The sequence below is a fragment of the Homo sapiens genome, chromosome 1 (assembly GCF_000001405.40).
Source record: "Homo sapiens chromosome 1, GRCh38.p14 Primary Assembly".
NCBI lineage: Eukaryota > Metazoa > Chordata > Mammalia > Primates > Hominidae > Homo > Homo sapiens.
The window spans coordinates 94,426,342-94,449,736 of record NC_000001.11 but is presented as its reverse complement, the minus strand read 5'-3'; the positions used below and the strand labels follow the sequence as shown (position 1 = coordinate 94,449,736).

General features: G+C 39.2%; 1 protein-coding gene across 7 annotated transcripts in view; it reads right to left on the bottom strand.

The window, feature by feature from the left end:
• Nucleotides 1-23,395, bottom strand: part of ABCD3 (ATP binding cassette subfamily D member 3) — a 133,533-nt gene that overhangs the window by 68,927 nt on the left and 41,211 nt on the right. For 2 of the 7 annotated variants that reach the window (XM_047426546.1, XM_047426554.1), the window contains exon 1: nucleotides 323-21,635. The exons of the other annotated variants lie outside the window; for them this stretch is intronic. The gene's annotated coding sequence lies outside the window, so the exon portion shown is untranslated. Of the gene's footprint in view, nucleotides 1-322; nucleotides 21,636-23,395 lie in introns of those variants that run through there. 7 annotated transcript variants of the gene reach the window in all.

The following is a 23,395-nucleotide window of genomic DNA, read 5'->3' as shown; positions in this document are numbered from 1 at the left end:
AAACATCCCCTTAGGGGACCAATCAATAATGATTCCATAGAAATCACTGTGCAGCACCTCTGCCTGTTCTGCAATGCAATCTTCCTAAACAAGTACGTTCACTTTTTCTGGCCAGGTTCAATTTTGTTTACAAATAGCTTTTTGAGGGCGGTATGCCTCAATTATAGGAGCAGATTCATTACGGTAAATACTGAGATCAGAAAGCATGTGTAACTGTGTCATAGAGTGATTACATCCAGGCATTACTGCCAGCCAAGATTGATAAATATGCCCAATAAGTATAATTGTTCTCTGTGTCAGCCATTGTTGAAGGAATACTCACGGCAATGGTAATCACTGCTATCATAGGTACCATCAAATTACTCATTGTGACTGGTTGTCCTGCTTTCCTCAGGTTTTTATTCCGCCATCTGTGACAGCTTCTTGATCTGTCCCCAAGTAGGTGGCTATGTTCGATGGGTATTGCTCATGACAGTTGGGATCCTCCTCAGTGTCAATCTCGACATGGCTGCAACTACGGGGTCCTCGGGATCCTCCCAGAATCTCTTCCTTGGCATCTGGCTCATAATAAGGTTTCAGGTGTCTTAATGGTATCCAAATCAGCTGTTGATTCGGTCCTGGAGAAACACAAGCATAACCTCTACCCCAAGTTATTATTTTACCTATTTCCCAACTTTTTGTTATCAGATCTCTCCACCAAACCAGTTGTTCTGCTTCTGTCTTTGCAGCTGGTTTCTGTAGATGCTGTTCAGCCGCTGATAGCATCTAGCCTTTAGGCATGCTAAAAAAAATTTAAAGTTAATAATGCTAGATTCAATTGCATATGGGGTGTCCCGTAGTCCCTGTTTATCCCCCTCTGCTTTTGCAACTGCTGTTTCAGGGACAGATTCATTTTTTCCACTATGGCTTGTCCTTGAGAATTATATGGGATACCAGTACTGTGTTTAATATTCCACATAGAGAAAAATGCAGCTAGAGCTTGGCTAGTATAGCCTGGGGCATTATCTGTTTTAATAGAAGCTGGAATGCCCATCACCGCAAAACACTGCAAAAGGTGACGTTTAACACAGGCAGAAGAAAACATAACTGAGCATTTTCAATTATTTGTGTGGAATGAACCACATATGAAGAATCAGAAATCACATTAATAGGCATATTAAAAGCAGTCAATACCTCAATTACAGCTACAAAAGCTCCGCTTTTTGAGCTGAAGTATAAGGCGTCTGGAAAACTTTACCTTTTGATCCAAAATAAGAAGCTTTACCGTTACTAGACCCATCTGTAAAAACATTCTCAGCAACTTCAATTGGTTTAAATTTAGTTATTCTAGGGAGGATCCAATTAGTTCATTTCAAAAATTGAAACAGTTTCGTTTTAGGAAAATGATTATCGAGAATACCCACAAAGTGAGCTAAATGGGTTTGCCAAGTAAGACTATTTATAAAAGCTTGCTGTACTTGTGCCTTCATGAGAGAGACAACAATTTTTCCAGGATCATATCCATGTAATCTAACAATCCGAGTTCTCCCGTTTCCTATCATAGTAGCAATTTGATCCAAATAAGGAGTTAGAGTCCGTCAATTAGTATGTGGAAGAAAAAGCCACTCTACTAAGTCCTGCTTGTGGACAATAACACCAGTAGATGAATGCTGAGTTGGAAAAACTGGCAAATCTAGAGTCTTTTCTGGATCTATTCTATTTATTTGAGCTTTATGGACTTGCTTTTGATTAGCTGAAGCTCTGCCTCAGCTTCTTTTGTTAATTGCCAAGGGCTAGTGAGACTAGGATCTCCTCTAAGGATAGAAAATAGATTACTCATGGCATAGGTAGGAATGCCTAGAGCAGGTCGTATCCAATTAATGTCCCTTAGTAATTTTTGAAAGTCATTTAATGTTTTCAATTGATCCCTACGTATGGCTACTTTCTGTGGCACAATGGTAATGTCATTTACTAAGGTCCCTAAGTAGGAGTAAGAAGTAGTAGTCTGAATTTTGTCAGGAGCTATAATTAAACCAGCACTAGAAACTGAATTTTGCAAGTGATCATAACATTGGGGTAATGTTTCTCGATAGGGGGCAGCACAAATTATATTGTCCATATAATGAATAATGTAACACTGTGAAAATTTTTTATCAATAGGTTTAATTGCTTGCTCTACATAAGTCTGGCAAATTATTGGACTGTTTAACATGCCCTGTGGCAACACTTTCCAATGAAAACACTTAGCAGGCTGTAGGTTGTTTACTGCAGGAATTGTAAATGCAAACCATTCACAGTCCTGCTCAGCTAAGGGGATAGTAAAGAAACAGTCTTTTAAATCTATGACTATTAAAGGCCAATTTTTTTTAATCATAGCAGGAGAAGGCAATCCTGGCTGCAATGCTCCCATGCTCCCATAGGTTGTATAACTGAATTAATGGCTCTTAAATCAGTTAACATTCTCTATTTACCTGATTTTTTCTTAATTACAAAAACTGGTGAATTCCAAGGAGAAAATGTTGGAGCTATGTGTCCTTCTAATTGTTTATTAACGACGTTCTCTAAAGCCTCCAGTTTCTCTTTACTTAGTGGCCATTGTTCTATCCAAATTGGCTTATCTGTTAACCATTTTAAAGGTATAGGTTCTAGAGGCTGAACAATGGCTGCCATCAAAAATGATATCCTAAACCTTGGCAGGAACTTTGTCTTTCCGCTTAAAGCGGTTCCTTCAAATCTTGCAAATTTTTTCCTAGTCCCATACCAGGGACATACCTGATTTCAGGCATCATATGTTGACTCTAAGGGCTGTTTAATTGCTCTGGAATTAGAACTTTTGCTCCCCATTATTGTAATAAATCTCTTCCCCACAGATTTATAGGTACAGAAGTTACAATCGGTTGAATAGTCCCAGGTTGTCCATCAGGTCCTTCATAATGCAAAATATAACTACTTTGATATACTTCAGGGGCTTTACCAACTCCAACTATGTTAAATTGAACAGGTTGAATTGGCCACGCAGACAGCCAGTGCTGTAGAGAAATGATTGAAATGTCCGCTCCTGTATCTACCCAACCCTTAAATTTCTTTCCCTGAATAGTTATTTCACAGGTAGGACATTTATCAGTAATTTGATTCACCCAATAAGCTGCTTTGCCTTGTCTATTTGTGCTTCCAAATCCTCCTGTTTAATTTCACTTTTCCCCATTTCCACATACGGCACAATCAGGAGCTGTGCTATGCGCTCTCCTGGCTCTGCTTTCCAGGGAACAGAAGTAGATGTAACAATTTGAATTTCTCCATTGTAATCTGAATCAATGACTCCTGTATGTATTTGTACTCCTTTTAAATTTAAATTAGACCTTCCTAGAAGTAATCCTATTGTCCCCGCTGGCAAGGGTCCACAGACTCCTGTTGGGACCTTTTGCAGGGGTTCCCCAGGCAGAAGGCTCACAGCTTTTGTGCAGCATAAATCTACCACGGCACTACCAGCTGTGGCAGGGGACAGACATTGCCCAGGGGTGAGGGAATGGCCTGAGCCGGAAATGCTCCCATTTGGAATGGGGCCCGAAATTGGGTTCCCATCTTTATCAAAGTTAGAGTGACACCAATTAGCCCAATGTTTTCCTTTTTCACATTTTGGACATATTTCAGGCTCAGCAGTTTTCTTTTTTCCCCTATCTGGCAGCCTGATTCGCTGATTTTTTCTACATTCTTTTTTAGTATGACCATGCTTCCCACAGTTAGAACAAGCTCCAGGAAACTGAGTATTTCCTTTACCCACTCTCAGTCCTGCCATTGCTTGGGCTAGCAGAGTAGCCTTAGGCAGATTACCTACGATACCATCACAGGCCTTGATATAATCAACTAAATGTACTTTCCCTCTAATAGGTCGCAGAGCAGCCTGGCACTCGGGATTAGCATTGCCGAAAGCTAATAACCGCAACGCTATATCCTGAGCAGCTGAATCTGCAATCACCTTTTTAAGAGACTCCTGTAACCGAGCTATAAAATCCATGTACAGTTCTTTTGGTCCCTGTTTTACAGCACTGAAGAGGCACTGCTCGAACAGTCACTGGGGCAACTACTTTTCGCCCAGTGTCCTCTGGAAAAGAAAGATCTGGAGGGTCAGGCCACTCCTTTTCTTCAAAATAAGGAGGGGGTGCAGGAGGGTAGGGATGAACCTCTTCCTCCTTTGCTGTTTTTACTTTAGGTGGCAAACAAACCTGCTCTGTTACTTCGTTATACTCTCCTTCCACATCAGTGTGAAAAGGTTCCAAGGTGGAACGAACCAGAGCCCACACTTGTCCCAATGTTACCCTGATGCTTCCGAGCTCCCCTTCTTACCCACCATGGGGACTGCTTAGAGTACCCGGGTGTCCTCCTGCTTAGTTCCATGTTCTCCAACCATCACTCCAGCGACCCCTCAACCTGGGTTTGAGCCCCATGTATGGGCGCCACTTGCCAAGACCACCTTGGTCGTGGAGACCTTAACCCAGTGGCGCTAGAGGAATTAAAGACACACACACACAGAAATATAGAGTGTGGAGTGGGCAATCAGGGGTCTCACAGCCTTCAGAGCTGAGAGCCCCAAACAGAGATTTACCCACATATTTATTGATAGCAAGCCAGTATAAGCATTGTTTCTATAGATTAGAGATTAACTAAAAGCATTTCTTACGGGAAATAAAGGGATGGGCCAAAACAAGGGGATGGGTCTGGCTAGTTATCTGCAGCAGGAACATGTCCTTAAGGCACAGATTGCTCATGCTATTGTTTGTGGTTTAAGAAAGCCTTAAGCAGTTTTCCAACCTGGGTGGGCCAGGTGTCCCTTGCCCTCATTCCGGTAAACCTGCAACCTTCAGCATGGGCATCGTGGCCATTGCAAACATCTCACAGTGCTGCAGAGATTTTGTTTATGGCCAGTTTTAGGGGCCTGTTCCCAACAAAAAATGAAATAATGGAAAAAAGAAATCAACAGTCTTACAAGTGAACCTAGACAAAACCAGCAGAGGAACTGCCCAGCCACCCACAGAACTGAGGGTAAAAGATAATCGCTGAAACCACTGAACTTTGGGGTGGTGAAAAGTCATGGGTCAAAGAAATCAGAAAATATTTTGAAATGAGTAATATATGTAACAACAGACTTACAAAATGAAAAGGTTTATAACAAAAAATCTGTAGGCTCCAACTAAAGCAGTGTTCACAAAGAACTTTATAACCTTAAATGCGTATATTTAAGAAGAAGGTTCAACATGTTGTCCAGTGCCTAAAATAATTTAAAATAAATAAAAATGGCCAGGTGCAGTGGCTCACACCTGTAATCACAGCACTTTAGGAGGCCAAGGCAGAAGAACTGCTTGAGTCCAGGAGTTTGAGACCAGCCCGGACAACACAGTGGGACTCCATTTTTTTTTTTTTTTTTTTTTGAGATGGAGTCTCGCTCTGCCCCCCCGGCTAGAGTACAGTGGCACAATCCTGGCTCAATGCAACCTCCGCCTCCCAGGTTCAAGCAATTCTCCTGCCTCAGCCTCCTAAGTAGCTTGGACTACAGGCGCACACCACCATGCCCAGCTAATTTTTGTATTTTTAGGAGAGACGAGGTTTCACCATGTTGGCCAGGATGGTCTTGATCTCTTGACCTCATGGTCTGCCTGCCTCAACATCCCAAAGTGCTGGGATTACAGGCATGAGCCACTGTGCCCAGCCGAAAAATATAAAAACACAGATAGAAGCAAAAAATAATGAAATAAAAAAGACATGAGAGAAAACTACACTAAAAGTTTAATTTTGGGAAAAATTAACACATTTTATAAGCTCATGGCAAGACTGATCCAAAAAAATACGGCAATATAACCAATATTAGAAAGTGATCTATCTATCAGAAGCAATCTCCACCAAAATCCCAACATGTGAATTCTAAAATTTCTATACAAACACAATACAGAACCCTGAAATAACATCACACACCTACAACCTACTGATGTCTACAAAGTCAACAAAAATATGCACTGGGGAAAGGACACCCCATTCAATAAACAGTGCTGGGAAAATTACATAGCCATGTAGAATGAAACTGGACCCCTACCTCTCACCACATACAAAAATTAACTCAAGATGGATTAATGACCTTATCGTAAGACCTAAAACTACACAAATCCCAGAAGCTGATAAGCACATCTTATAACTTGTTTATAAAACAAGAGAAAAGCTCTTCTAGCCATTGGCCTAGGCAAAGAATTTATGACCAAGTCCCAAAACCAAGCACAACAAAAACAAAAATAGACAAATGAGACTTAAACTAAAAAGCTTCTACACAACAAAGGAACAGTCTATGGAGTAAACAGACAACCTACAGAATGGCAAAAAATATTTGCAAACTATGCATCCAATAAAGGGCTAATATCCAGAATACACAAGGAACTCAGCTCAACAAGAAAAAAACAAGTAACCCTATTAAAAAGTGGGCAAACAACATGAACAGACATTTTTCAAAAGAAGACATACAAAGGGGCCAAAAACATGAAAAAATGCTCAACATCACTAATCATCAGAGAAATGCAAACTAAAACCACAAGGAGATTACCATCCTATACCAGTCAAAATGGCTATTATTAAAAAGTCAAAAAACAACAGATGTTGGCAAGGATGTGGAGAAAAAGGAATGCTTACACACTGTGGTGAGAATATAAATTATTACCATCTTTATGGAAAACAGTATGGTGATTTCTCAAAGAACTAAAAACAGAACTACCATTCCATCCAGCAATCCCCCTATTGGGTATACATCCAAAGGGAAAGAAAATATATATATATAAAAGATACCTGCACTGGTATGTTTATCATAGCACTATTCACAACAGTAAAGATATGGAATCAACCTAAGTGCCTATCAATGGAGGACTGGATAAGAAAAATGTACATATATACCATGGAATACTACTCAGCCATAAAAAAGAATGAAATCATGTCTTTCACAGCAACATGGACAGAACTGGAGGCTATTATCCCAAGAAATAACTTTGAAACAAAGTCAAATATCAAATGTTCTCACTTATAAGTGGGAGCTTAACGATGTGTACACATAGACATACAGAGTGGAATAACAGACACTGCAGATTACAAAAGGTGGGAGGGTGGCGGGGTGAGGGTTGCAAAATTACCTATTGGGTAGAACATTCACTATTCAGGTGATGGGTACACTAAAAGCCCAGACTTCACTGCTGTCTAATATATGCATGTAAGAAATCTGCACTTATACCTCCTAAATATATTTAAACCATTTTTTTAATGTAAAGACTATTTTAAAAATTATATATAATACCAATGCAAAAGTTGATAACTAAAGCACATTGCATAACTTGTTTATAAGATTCACTACACTCATAAAATTGGGTTCCTCCACAGCAACTATAAAATAGTGTTCCATAAAAATATGGAAGTCCTTTAGAAAAAAGGCAGAAGAGCCACATAAGTCATCTTACAGACGGAATTCTGGGAAAACGGCTTATAGCAATTGCACAGTATTTTTAAAATAAACTTTTAATTCTGATATGATTGCAAACATACTGAAAATCTGCTAGAATAATACACTGAATTCTCTATGCCTTCCATCTAGATTTCCCAATTAATGTTCTAACAAATTTGCTTTATTCTTCTCTATATATACACACACATGCATTTTTTCCTAAGCCATCTGAGATTGTTACTTCTAAATATTTCAGTGTTTACATTCTAAAAACAAAGACTTTCTCTTATATAACTATAGTACAATTATCAAAATCATGAAATTAACATGGATAGAATACTAAAACTAATCAGACCTTATTCCAATTTCTCTGATTATCCCAATAATATCCTCTTACCTTGTTCAACCACCCCCTCCTTTTGACCCCGTTCTTACTCATACCCTCTAAGTAACCAGTTTCATCATTTCCTTATTTATCCATCTTCTTTTTGTACAAAATGAGCAAATAACATATTTGATTTTCCCTTCTTTCTTACATAAAAGATAGCATATCTAGTCTTTTGTACTTTTCACTTAATGTTTCCTAGAAATCACTTTCTATCAGTCCATAGAAAGCACCTTCATTTTTCTTCACAGCTCTGTAACACTCCATTGTGTGTAAGTACCATAGTTTATTCAACCACCTCTTATGCATGTATGGGCATTTAGGTTGTCTCCAATAGTTTGTAATAACAAGAAATGCCCAATGAATAACCCTACACATCTGTATTTGAACACTTTCAGAGCTGTATCCTCAGTGGGACTACTGAGTCAATACATAAATGCATACGCAGTTTTGTTAGCTATAATCAAATTCCCCTCCACAAAGGCTGCACCTCTGCATTACCACTAGGATTTTAAGAGAGTTCCAGTTTCTTCACAGCCTCACCAATAAAGTATATTGTTGCATTTTTAAGTTTTTGCCAAAGTAGTATGTGAAACAGTATCTTAGTATAGATTAAATTTGCATTTCTCATATTTTAAGTGAGGTTAATCACATGTTTAAGAATCATCTATATACTTATTAGCCCTATATCTGTGATATATATTACAGATATGTTCTATAAGTTTGTCATTTGTCTTTTGTTATGGTGGGTTTTTACCACACAGAAGCTTTTTAATTTTATATAGTCAAATGTATCAATATTTTCTTTTGTTGCATCTGGATTTTTGAATCACACTTACAAAAGCTTTCCCTACACCCAGGTTATAGAGGAATCCACCCATGTTTTTCTCTGGCACTTGTATACTTTAATGGATTTATCCTTACATATGGTATGAGATGTAGATCTCATTTTATCGCATTTCCAATGGCTAACCAATTATTCTACTGGCATTTATTAAAAATTCTATCTTTATTCTAGTGATTTGAGATAAATGGGATTATTTTGAAGCTCCTTGAACCCATCCTCCACCTCCCAAGAAAAAACCTGACTGAGCAACTAGGATAGCAAAACCCAAAACCCATGGACAACACATACAACGAAACTAGAAAACTAGATGACAAAGTATTTCTACAAATCCCAAAATATGAATAGGAGGTAACAACCTACCAACAGCTACAAAACCCGAAAGGTAGCAGAGTGAAGTAATAGGGTATCTTATCCACCTCGGGAAGATCCCTACATCACTAAAAGAACTCACTGGAAAACTTAAAGGACCAATTTGAGAGCAGCAGCTGAACTGGGAGGCATTCCACACAGTCCAGTAAACAGCACTGTAAGCAAGTGCAAGGAGTTCAAGGTAATGTCTATTGGGCTTGGAGCAGCCTGGACCCTTGAAGACTCAAAATTAACCAGTTAAAGCTCCCTTTCAGAACAGAGCCTCCTGCGAAGAGAAACTGCAAGGAACAGAATACTATGTGAGACCATAGGAACAAAGGGTAAGAAAGAAACAGCCTAGAGATCTCAGATAGTAAACAGTATTTTCAAACACTACTTGAAAACAACAGAAGAGGGTGCTGTAGAGCATAAATTAGAAAAGTTATCCTAAATCAAACTTCCTCTTCTAAAAGTTGAAAAAATTAATTTCAGACAAAAAAAGAAAAGCAAACAATGGGATAGTATCAAAGTTAAATCTTTTACAACATTATAAGAAAAAATACAAGAATAAAAATATCCCTACAGACAATGAAAGCATGTGAGAAACACATTCCTACAAGATATAAAAACTATAACCTATGATGTCAAAATAATCCAGAAAAAATTAAGAAGCAATGCTAGCCAGGCACAGTGGTGTGTGCCTGCAATCCCAGCTACTTGGGAGGCTGAGGCTAGAGAATCACTTGAGGCCAGGAGTTCAAGGCTGCAGGAAGCTGTGATTGCACCTGTGAATAGCCACTGCATTCCAACCTGGGGAACACAGTGAGAGTTTGTCTCTAAATGAAGTACAAGAAGCCAATGCTAGACATAAACTCACAGCATAAAATAATATTTTTTAAACTTACAAATGTGGTGATAAAATATTAGAAATTTAGAAAGAAAAATAATTTCAAAATTGAATATGAAACCATAAAAAGTACAAGGGCAAATAAACACAACAGATAAAACATGAAAGTAAATATACAAATTATATACAAATATACAATTTCATATATTCAAACAAAACAGAGTATTTTTTATTTTTGATAGAGTCTCGCTCTGTTGCCCAGGCTGGAGTGCAGCAGCACAATCAGTTCACTGCAACCTCTACCTCCCACGTTCTCCTGTATCAGCCTCCTGAGCAGGTGGGACCACATGCACATGCCACCACACCTGACTAATTTTTGTATTTTTAGTAGAGACAGGGTTTCATCATGTTGGCCAGGCTGGTCTCAAACTCCTGACCTCAAGTGATCTGCCCACCTCAGCCTCCCAAAGTGCTGGGATTATAGGTATGAGCCACTGCGCCCAGCCTAGAATTTTTTTTTAATGTGAAAAAAAAATCCTTTGGATACACAAAAGACCAAGTCATTTAAAAGGGAAAAGCAAAAGAGATTAGCCACAGACTTTGTTAACAACCCTCAGTGTCAGAAAACAATAGAGTAACATATTTAAGATATTCAAGAAGAGAAAATGTGAACCTAGGATTTTACATCCAGACAAATTTTCAAGTACAAAGGTCACAGACAAACTGTTTGCAACATGAAACAATTCAGAGATTATTGTTCCATGAGCTCTTCCTGAGGAATTTACTACAGAACAAGCTCTGGACAAGAAGAATGACTATAAAGCCAGTGACCTAAAAAGAGGTAGTGAGCACTCAATATGGATTTACTTGCAGAACTAGGAATAAATGAGAGTTAAAAGGGAAAGAATACATAGCAGTGTACCCTCAAAGACACTTCACATTCAGTTCCAGACCACAGCAATAAAGCTAACAGGCAATAAAGTGGGTCACGTGAACATTTTGGTTTCCCAGTGCACATAGAAGTTATGTTTACACTATACTGTGTAGTCTCTCAAGTATCCAATGACATTACGTCTAAAAAAAAAATCAATGGACATACCTTGGTTTTTAAAATACTTTATTGCTAAAAAATGTTCATCCTTTTGCTGGTTGAGGGTCTTGCCTCCATGTTAATGGCTGCTGAACAAACAGGGCAGTGGTTGCTGAAGGCTGGGGTGGCTGTGGCAATGTATTAAAATAAGACAGCACTGAAGTTTGCCATAGTGATTAACTCTTCCTTTCACAAAAAGAGTTCTCTGTGCCATACTATGCTGTTTGATGGCATTTTACACAATAGAACTTTCAAACTTGGAGTCAATCAATCCTCTCAAATCTTGTCACATCAACCAAGTTTATGTAATATTGTAAATCCTTTGTTGTCATTTAACAATGTTCACATCATCTTCACCAAGAGTAGATTCTATCTGAAGAAATCACTTTCTTTGCTCATGCATAAGAGGCAACTCTTCATCCTTTCAAGTTTGTGTGTGTGTGTGTGTGTGTGTGTGTGTGTGTGTGTGTGTGTATGTGTGTGTGTGTGTGTGATGGAGTCTTGCTCTGTTGCCAGGCTGGAGTGCAATGATGTGATCTCGGCTCACTGCAACCTCTGCCTCCCAGGTTCAAGCGATTCCCCTGTCTCAGCCTCCCAAGTAGCTGGGACTACAGGCGCATGCCACCACACCCGGCTAATTTTTTGTATTTTAGTAGAGATGGGGTTTCACCATGTTGGCCAGGATGGTCTCGATCTCCTGACCTCGTGATCTGCCCGCCTCAGCCTCCCAAAGTGCTGGGATTAGAGGTGTGAGCCACCACACCTGGCCATCCTTTCAAGTTTTATTATGAGATTGAAGCAATTCTGTTGTATCTTCAGATTCCACTTCTAGTTCTCTTGCTATTTCTATCACATCAGTTACTTCCTCCACTGAAATCCTGAACCCCTCAAAGTCATCCATGAGGGTTGGAATAACTTCTTCCAAAATCCCATTAATGTGGATATTCTGACCTTCTTCTATGAACCACAAATGTTCTTAATGGCACCTAGAGTACTGAATCCTTTCCAGGTTTTCTATTTATTTAACCCAGATCCATCACAGAGATAACTATCTATGGAAACTACAGCCTTCCAAAATGTATTTGTTAAATAATAGGCTTTGAAAGTCAAAATTACTCCTTAATCCATGGGCTGCAGAAAGGATGCTGTATAAGCAGTCATGAAAACAACATTAATCTCCTTGTACATCTCCACTAGAGCTCTTGGGTGACCAGGTACATTGACAATGAGCAGTAACATTTTGAAAGGAATCTTTTTTCAGAGCAGTAGGTCCCAACAGTGGTATTAAAATATTCAATAAATGATGCTGTAAACAGACGTGCTGCTATCCAGGTTTTATTGTTCCATTTACATGTAGGCAGAGTAAATTTAGCATAATTCTTAAGGGCCCTAGGATTTTCACTATGGTAAATGTGTATTGGCTTCAACTTAAAATTGCTTGCTGCATTATCCCCTAACAAAAGAGTCAGACTGTTCTTTGAAGCAAGGCATTTACTTATCTTCTCTAGCTATGAAAGTCCTAGGTGGCATCTTCTCCAATAGATAGCTGTTTTGTCTACATTGAAAACCTGTAGTTTAGTATAGTCCACCTTTATCGATTATCTTAGCTAGATCTTCTGGATAACTTGCTGTAGCTTCCACATCAGTACTTGCTGTTTCACCTCGCAATTTCATATTATAGAGATGGCTGCTTTCCTTAAACCTCATGAACCAACCTTTGCTAATCTCAAACTTTTCTTCTACAGCTTCCTCACCTCTCTCAGCCTTCACAGAACTGAAGAGTTAGGATCTTGCTCTGGATTAGGTTTTAGCTTAAGGGAATGTTGCAGCTGGTTTGATCTTCTATCCAGACCACTCAAACTTTCTCCCTATCAGCAATAAGGCTGTTTCTTATCATTCTTGTGTTTACTGAAGGAGCAGTTTTCCTTCAAGAACTTTTCCTTTGCATTCACAACTTGGCTAACTGGCACAAGAAACCTAGCTTTTGAATTTCATGGCACCCCAAAACAATTACAATAGTAACAACAAAGATGTCCAATCACAGATCATCATAACAGATATGATAAATGAAAAAGTTTGAAATATCACGAGAATTACCATAATATGATACAGAGACATGAAGTGAGCACATGCTGTTGGTAAAATGGCTTCAATAGACTTGCTCAATGCAGGGTTGCCACAAACTTTCAATTTGTAAAAAACACATTACCGCCAAAGCACAAAAAAGTAAAGTGCAATAAAATGAGGCATGCCTATATCAATATGCTCTGACAACACAGATACAGTACAACCAAAAAATAAGGAAGAATGGAAAGAGCCTATGTGAAAAAAATTTAACTATTTTCAGTAATCATATTAATAGTAGAGATATTTGTATTATTATTTGGAGAACACTGAGTGTGTAAAGTGGGATAACGCAACTGAATATTTCCGTGATACTCTAATTTGACCATCAACTGTGTCTTTGAGAATCAGGATTATCAGTTTGGGATACAAGGAGATACAGATGTAAATAGAAGATGATAATTTAAAAAATCTTGAAATCTTGTATGTGGATTGGAAGTGTCAGTATGCATATCGTGGCTCTGTCCATAAGAAAAGCCTAGAAACAACTGCCAACCTAGTAGCAATGAGCATCCCTAAATTCCAATTGTGATCTTGAAATACCATTTCCCAATAAAAGGAAGCAACCTCTTCTTAGGAAAAAAAGCTGATTCTAGATCTGGGTCAGGAAATGTCTAAGAGGAGCCTGGAACATATTACTACAGACAGCAAGGAAGCTATCAAAGATCACTAAAGCCATGTCAAAAGCACTAAGGAGCCAGCTTAAAGAGGCTCCCATTGGTCCAAGATGGGACAATTGAGCAAAAATAAGGACAAGAGCTGTAATAAACTGAAGCACAAATAATTAAATCAAAAGGTTCATAATGACAAGAAGAACTCACTGGTCACTTTTAGGTAATAACACGAAATTAACATATTATTTTGATAACTGGTAAATGAAGAAGCAAATATCCAACTTTTCCTAATTGAACTGCACCACTAGGTACAACTACTAACCAGATAGCAGAAAAGAAAAGGTTTCTTTCTGTGGAAGCATTCCACCTTATAAGTGAAGAAATAACAGAATTCAAATATCACCATATTGCAAGCTTTAATAAATTCACTGATCTAGGTGTCAAGCATCAGTGGCTGCTAAAATCACAAAAAGAGAGAAAACTAGACACTATAACTCTCTTTTTTGCAAGACAGAATCTTGCTCTGTTGCCCAGGCTGGAATGCATGGTGCCATCACAGTTCACTGCAGACTCAATCTCCTAGGCTGAAGTGATCCTCCCACCTCAGTAGCTGGAATTACAGGCATGTACCACCACACCTCCCTAATGTTTTTTACTTTTTATAGACACAGGGTCTCATTACGTTGCCCAGACTGGTCTCAAACTCCTGGGCTCAAGTTATCCTCCTGCCTGGGCCTCCCAAAGTGCTGGGATTACAGGTGAGAACCACCATGCCTGGCTTTATATATCTCCTGATGGTGAATATACCACACTAACTCCTAGGAAGTGGAAAAAAAACAAAACTCAAAGCAAAACCTAAATTTGATCAAGGTTTTAGATCCAACTACCAATTTATGGGAAATACAAAGGATGAAGAAAAAGTATGCAATCAGCATAATCTAGACTACAGAATCTGTACAGGTCAAAATAACTGGCTGCTTCAGGGAATAAACTGTAAGAAAGAAAGGGAAAGGGAGGTGGCAGGGGGATATGTAGGTTAAGAGACATAGATAAAAAAAAAACCACAAACACAACTAAATTATAGTTTTCAGGAATGCACATTTGGGTGATGAAATTATAGGAAACACAAAGATGCGATTATACAGAAGTCAGGATAGCAATTACTTTTAGGTGAGAGGAAAGGGGCTGTGACTGGGAAGGGCCATGTGGAAGGCTTCTGCAGTGGCTGGCAAAGATTTATTTCTTGATCTGGGTAGTGGTTAAAAGGGTGTTTTGTTTTGTAAAAGATGTCATTGCATTATTTATGTATTTATGCAGTTTTCTGTCTGTGGTATAATCTACAATAAAAGGTGCCTTAACTCTTAGAGTATTGCACCATGATTGTATTACACTCATGTACTGCATAACATTTCAGTGAAAAATGCATACACAACAGTGGTCCCATAAGATTATAATGGAGCTGAAAAATTCCTATCACCTAGTGACTCTGTAGCTGACATCATACCGCAGTACAACACATTACTCACATGTATGTGGTGATGAAACTACTGCTGCACTGCCAGTCATATAAAACAATTAGGTACAGTACTTAATGCTTGATAATAATAATAAATGACTATGTTACTTGTTTATGTATTTACTATACTATACTTTCATCATTATATTAGAGTGTACTCCTACTTAAAAAAAAAGTTAACTATAAAACAGCCTCAAGCAGATCCTTCAAAAAGTATTCCAGAAGAAGGTACTGCTATCATATGAATGACAGCTCCACACATTTTACTGTCCCTGAAGACCTTCCAGTGGGACAAGATATAGAAGTGGAAGACAGTGATTTTTTTTAAACTAAAAAATTTTTTTTAAATAAATTTCATGTAGCCTAAGTGTACAGTGTTTATAAAGTCTACAGTCATGTGCAATAATATGCTAGGCCTTCACATTCACTCATAACTCACTCAATGATTCACCCACAGCAACTTCCAGTCCTGCAAGCTCCATTCATGGTAACTACACCTTATACAGGTACACCGTTTTTGATCTTTTATGCCATATTTTAACTGAACCTTTTCTATGTTAAGACATGTTTAGAGGCTGGGAGCAGTGGCTCATACCCATAATCCCAGCACTTTGGGAGGCCAAAGTGGGCAGATCACTTGAGGCCAGGAGTTCGAGACTAGCCTGGCCAACATGGCAAAACCCCGTTTTAACTGGAAAAAAAAAAAAATTAGCAGGGCATGATGGCCCACACCTGTAGTCCCAGCTACAGGGGAGGCTGAGGCAGGAGAAGCACTTGCACCTGGGAGGCGGAGGTTGCAGTAAGCCAAGACTATGCTGCTGCACTAAAGCCTAGGCGACAGATCCAGACACTGTCTAAAAAAAAGACATGTTTAGACAAAAAAAAAAAAAAAACTGACCATTGTGTTACAACTGCCTATAGTATTCAGTACAGTAACATGAGGTACAGGTTTGTAGCCTAGGAGCAATAGACTATACCATATACCATACAGCTTGGGTGTGTATATAGCATCTATGTTTGTATAAGTGCACTCTATGATGTTCACACAACAATAAAATTGCCTAACCGGGCCGGGCGTGGTGGCTCACACCTGTAATCCCAGCACTTTGGGAGGCCAAGGCAGGCAGATCACCTGAGGTCAGGAGTTTCAGACCAGCCTAGCCAAAATGGAGAAATCCCGTCTGTACTAAAAATACCAAATTAGCTGCTCATGGTGGCACATGCCTGTAATCCCAGCTACTCAGGAGGCTGAGGCAGGAGAATCGCTTGAACTCGGGAGGTAGAGGTTGCAGTGAGCCGAGATCGGGCCACTGCATTCCACACTGGGCAACAAGAGCGAAACTATGTCTGGAAAAAAAAAAAAAAAGGCTGGGCGTTGTGGCTTACGCCTGTAATCCCAGCACTTTGGGAGGCCGAGGTGGGTGGATCACGAGGTCAGGAATTCGAGACCAGCCTGACCAACAGGGTGAAACCTTGTCTCTACTGAAAATACAAAAATTAGCCGGGCATGGTGGTGGTGCGTGCCTGTAATACCAGTTACTCAGGAGGCTGAGGCAGGAGAATTGCTTGAACCCAGGAGGCAGAGGTTGCAGTGAGCCGAGATAGTGCCACTGCACTCCAGTCTGAGCAACAGAGTGAGACTCCGTCTCAAAAAAAAAAAGAAAAAAAATTTGCCTAACAGTGCATTTCTCAGAAGACATCTCCATTGTTAAGCAATGCATGACTTAATATAGCAAATAGAATTTTAATAATGAATTTCACTTTGTAATTTAATATAAAACCTTTTTTAACCCCTGAATGATTCTTGAGTTCTTTGAATCTAAATTCATTTGAAAGACTTTGATTTAAATGTTTTATTCTGCCTTTTACCTTCCACATGGTTAATTCGAACTTAAGGACTCTCATAATTAGATACCATTTTTACTTATTCCTCACCTGTAAAATGAAGACAATAAAAAGAATTATTTCAAAAGACTGTTGTTAGGAATAAACGTAAAACATTTAGAACAATGTCTAAAATATGGTTAAGTGTTCAATAAATACTTTATTTATAGTAATATCTCCAGCTTCGTCTCCTTGCAGTTCCTTCTCAAATATAACTCCATTAACTCCATGCCTTTGTGCAAGCTGTTTTCCCTACCTGGAATGCCTTTTACCCCTTAGCAAAACACTATATATTTCTTAAGGTCAAGCTCCAGTATGAAACCCTCCCAGGTAACAACCAGAAGAATTAAACTGTGTTACTACCACAGGTCTACTCATACTCAGTTGTACAAATTTTCTATGCATTTGTAGTAATAGTGCCACAAGACTGGAGTTAAAAATAACGTTTATTTAATTTGGTATCTCAAAGCCTAGCCTATTGACATATAGCGCTCAACAGAACGTACTGGATAAATGTTGTTATTTCCTCTCACATTCCTGTTTCCTCCAGTGGGGGAAGAGAGAATAGATATTTTCTTGAACCAGTCATAAAATACATACAGAAATGTATTCAACCAGTAACAGTTAAATTAGAAATTATATGATACTTAAGAAATGGGATCACCTCATTTATTCTGTCCCATGCTTGCTTCCTCCACCCCACCTCTTTACTAAACAATATATCTTGGGCACTGTTGATGGGGTAAAAAGTCACGAGTCCTACAGTTGAAAATATCTTAAATCTAATTTCCTGATGCAACATAACTGTATTCACAGGTAAATAAAGAACTATATTTTAGTCCAGGCATGGTGGTTCACGCCTATATCGTCCTAACACTTTGGGACCCTATCTCTACAAAAAAATTAAAAATTAGCCAGGCATGGTGGTGCACACCTATAGTCCCAGCTACTCAGGAGGCTGAGGTGGGAGGATCAATTGAGCCCAGGAAGTCAAGGCTGCAGTGAGCCATGATGGCACCATGTACTCCAGCCCAGGCCACAGAGTGAGTCTGTCTCAAAAAGCAACAACAAACCATATTTTAAATAAAATATTATCAGGGAATGTTTGTTGGTTTTTTTTGAACTAGAAATTTCATATAAAATGTCAAGATACAACATTCTCTCTTTCAATAGTCTATGAGTTTCTTAACAGCAAAACTCTTGTCTAATTTACTTTTTAGCTTAACATCTGAAAACCCAGCATCTGGTACATAGCAAGCACTCGACTTTGACTTGGTGGCATGATCTTTGGGTTCTTTGTTTTTGAGTAGTTGATTGATTTCTACCTGCCTATCTCAGGCCAAGCTACTTCCTCCAGCCCTCATTCTGGAAAGAGGAAAAAATCTGATTTTATCTCAAATTCTTCTTTTTCGCATATTTTTACCTTTTTTAGCCACACCTCCAAGATAAACTAAAGAATGGCAACAACAATGAATTTATAGTCAGAAGTTTGACTTTCATGCAAGCTGATATGCAGTATTTTTATAGGCAAGATAAAAGTATGCATAGTAAAAAGGAAATGCACCAATATGCTAATATGATTTTAGCTAAATGCCATCATTGTAAGTTGCATCCAAATTTCAGAGAAGTTAAAATGTGAACAGAGATGCTAAAATGTAAAAAAAGTGCATCTTAGAATCAATAAAATATGACACTAATGATAAACGTTAGAAAAGGTGTTTTCTCCCTTCTTCTAGTTATTCAAATTTCCATGGTGTATATTTAACTTTGATAATGCAAAAATGTTTAATTTTTAAAATTAAAGTCATATTTAATTTTAAAACAGCTTTTTTACATGTAGGCCTACTCACTAAATTAACAAAAATTTACAGAATTGTTGTCCTTATCCTCTGAGACACCATGTTAGTCTGTTTTCACACTGCTGATAAAAACATACCTAAGACTGGACAATCTAAAAAAGAAAGAGGTTTAACTGGACTCACAGTTCCACATGGCTGGGGAGGCCTCACAATCATGGTGCAAGGCAAGGAGGAGTAAGTCACACCTTACGTGGAGGGTGGCAGACAAAAACAGCTTGTGCAGGGGAACTTCTCTTTATAAAAGTATCAGATCGCATGAGACTTATTCACTATCACTAGAACAGCACAGGAAAGACCTGCCCCCATGATTCAATTACCTCCCACCTGTCCCTCCTACAACACTGGGAATTCAAGATGAGATTTAGGGGGACACAGCCAAACCATATCATTCTGCCCCAGTCCCTCCCAAATCTCATGTCCTCACATTTCAAAACCAGTCATGCCTTCCCAACAGTCCCCCAAGGTCTTAATTCATTTCAGCATTAACTCAAAAGTCCACAGTCCAGTCTCATCTGAGACCTGCCCACGAGCCTGTAAAATCAAAAGCAAGTTAGTTACTTCCTAGATACAGTGAGGGTACAGGCATTGGGTAAATACAGCCATTCCAAATGGGAGAAATTGGTCAAAACAAAGGGGCTGCAGGCCCCACACAAGTTCAGAATCTGGCAGTGCCATCAAATCTTAAAGCTCTAAAATTATCTCCTCTGACTCCATGTCTCACATACAGGTCACACTGATGCAAGAGGTGGGTTCCCATGGTCTTGGGCAGCTCTGCCCCTGTGGCTTTGCAGGGTACAGCCTCCCTCCTGGCTGCTTTCACGGGCTGGCATTGAATGTTTGCAGTTTTTCCAGGCGCACAGTGCAAGCTGCTGGTGGATCTACCCTTCTGGGGTCTGGAGGACAGTGGCCCTCTTCTCATGGCTCCACTAGGTGGTGCCCCAGCAGGGATTCTGTGTGGGGGCTCCAACCTCACATTTCCTTTCCACACTGCCCTAGCAGAGGTTCTCCATGTGGGCCCCATCCCTGCAGCAAACTTCTGCATGGGCATCCAGGCATTTCCATACATCCTCTGAAATCTAGGCAGAGGTTCCCAAACCCCAATTCTTGACTTCTGTGCACTCGCAGGCTCAACACCACATAGAAGCTGCCAAGGCTTGGGGCTTACACCCTCTGAAGCCACAGCCTGAGATATACCTTGGCCCCTTTTAGTCACAGCTGAAGTGGCTGGGATGCAGGGCACCAAGTCCCTAGACTGCACACAGCAAAGGGACCCTGGGACGGACCCATGAAACCAATTTTTCCTCCTAAACCTCCAGGTCTGTGATGGGAGCGGCTGCCACAAAGGTCTCTGATATGCCCTGGAGACATTTTCCCCATTGTCTTGATGAGTAACTTTTGGCTCCTTGTTACTGATGCAAATTTCTGCAGCTGGCTTGCATTTCCCCTCAGAAAATGGGTTTTTCTTTTCTGTGGTATTGTCAGGCTGCAAATTTTCTGAACTTATATGCTCTGCTTCCCTTATAAAACTGAATGCCTTTAACAGCACCCAAGCCACCTCTTGAATTCTTTGCTGCTTAGAAATTTCTTCCGCCAAACACCCTAATCACCTCTCTCAAGTTCAAAGTTCCACAAATCTCTAAGGCAGGGTCAAAATGCTGACAGTCTGTTTGCTAAAACATAACAAGAGTCACCTTTGCTCCAGTTCCCAACAAGTTCCTCATCTCCATCTGAGACTACCTCAGCCTGGACCTTATTGCTCATATCACTATCAGCATTTTTGTCAAAGCCATTCAGCAAGTCTCTAGGGAGTTCCAAATTTCCCACATTTTCCTATCTTCTTCTGAGCCATCCAAATTGTTCCAACCTCTGCCTGTTACCCAGTTTCAAAGTCACTTCCACATTTTCAGGTATCTTTTGAGCAATGCCCCACTCTACTTGTACTAATTTGCTGTATTAGTCTGTTTTCATCCTGCTGATAAAGACATACCCGAGACTGGGCACTTTACAAAAAAAAAAGGTTCAATTGGACTCACAGTTCCACATGGCTGAGGAGGCCTCACAATGCTGGTGGAAGGCAAAGAGGAGCAAGTCACATCTTATGTGGATGGCGGCAGGCAAAAAGAGCTTGTACAGGAGAACTCCTCTTTAAAAAACCGTTCACTATCACGAGAACAGCATGGGAAAGACCTGCCCCCATGATTCAATTACCTCCCACCAGTCCCTCCTACAACACAGCCAAACCATATCGTACTATGTCTCACATTGCTTACTTCATACATTTAAGAAGCTGTATAAATATTTTTAAAATAGTGACATGCAATGATACATTATAAACATAACATGTTGACTAAATTATTATTTACCTAGAGCAGTTGCCTCATTCTACACAGTGCTTTTTAATGCCAATAAATGTATTAATAAAATATTAAAGTCCAAATAATTTAAGCATAGAGTAAATCATATAATCCACTTTTATGTCAATTATTATAGTACCATTATAGTGGTGAGACGGCTACATCTATTTACAGATATCAAACTAGCTGATTATGCTTTGATGAGCTTTATTTTCAATTTTATACTTTATTAACTTAACTGCATTCACTCGGGCCTGCTAATCTAGCAAACTGATAAGAAAGGTGTGTTTAAAAAAACACTTTTCCATTTCTCAATCTTGTGGCAAAAAAATAAAAAATAAAAAAAAAAACAAAACACCTTTTAGCATACTCCTATTTTACCTAAGAAGGCTTCAAACCATCTTAATATTTATAATAGTTCCACTGTATTACATAAATAGCAGTTATCCAAAGAATTTTATCCTTAACTTTATAGAAGGCTATATTCTTGACAGAGATGCCTAAAACAAAAGTGACTTACTCTTAAAAAGAATGTTATGATGAAAGCCATGTTTTTAAGCAAGGGCCTGATGCCTAATTTTATGTAGAAATAATATAAATGCCATTTTAAACAACAGTTACATAAAAATCTTTCCAAAAGAACTAATAGGGTCGAGCACAGTGGCTCATGCCTGTAATCCTGATACTTTTGGGAGAACAAGGCAGGCGATCGCTTGGAGACCAGAAATTCGAGACTAGCCTGGTCAACATAGTGAAATACCATTTCCCGTAAAATTTTACTTAATTTAGCAGATAAAATTCCAAAGAAAATGTAGGAAGATCCTATCTTTCTCCTTCATAATTCAAGTTCATATTACATTGAAACAGATTAGAAGGTGATATTCATCAGGTCATGGATGAGTGTGATGTTGATCCTAGGAAAAAAGTTACAACTTACTTATCTAAATGGGCAGTATGGCATGGGTACTTAGAAGGAAGTGGTAACTTTTAGGAGAAAATATGAATTCACCAAAAAACTATGTCAGACTAAGGTCATTCTTTTCTTTGAAAGGGACCACGAAATTTTTGTAAATTTTGTTCACTATGCTACAAAGCATTTGATGATAAACAAAATCAGGGTTTCTGCCCTTTCCATGTAAGAGACCAAGGCTAATACAGTTCTAGGGTCTACCTTCACACCTCTGTGACAGGAAAGAAAGACCCTTCCCCACACCAGCTCCAGCAGAAACATCCCAAAAGAGGACTCTGGCCCAGTATGCATCAGGTTATGGATACTGTCAGAATGCCAGGTCTACTACCAGAAGGAAATGTGTGAAAAGATGCTGGTAAGTTAAAAATGAGAGCCAATACAATAACCAAAGGGTGTCAATTAATAGAAAGATTATAGTGGTGTAAACATACTGTTCTATACTCAGTCCTGTCCAATCAGTTTTTTAAGTTTGTTAGGAAAACATACAGAAGGAATAGTAATTAATTGTGCAGATCAAAAAGTTTCAGAGGGAAGAAGTAATGTGCCCAACCAAAAATAAGTATAAAGACCTGCACCCAGGTTTAAAAAAAAAAAAAAAAAAAAAAATTCAGGCTGGGCGCGGTAGCTCTCACCTGTAATCCCAGCACTTTGGGAGGCCGAGGTAGGCAGATCACCTGAGGTCAGGAGTTCAAGACCAGCCTGGCCAACATGGCGAAACCCCATTTCTCCTAAAAATACAAAAAAATTAGCTGGGTGTGGTGGCGGGTGCCTGTAATCCCAGCTACTCGGGAGGGTGAGGCAAGATAATCACTTGAACCCGGGAGTCGGAGGTTGCGGTAAGCCAAAATTGCACCACTGCACTCCAGCCTGGGTGACAGAGCAGGACTCCATCTCAAAAAAAAAAAAATCAAACACATCAAGGTGAGGAGGGGGAAAGAAGGGAAAACCATTGTGAAAGCTAAATACAAGTGAAAAATATTTGAGAGTCATAAAAATGAATGTAACTTCATGCTATTTTAATGAAAGCTTAACATCTTAGGATCTTTAATGAAAGCTTAGGACAAGGTAGGTCACAGTTCTCTGCTAGTGTGCCAGTGAGAAGACACTTTGAAT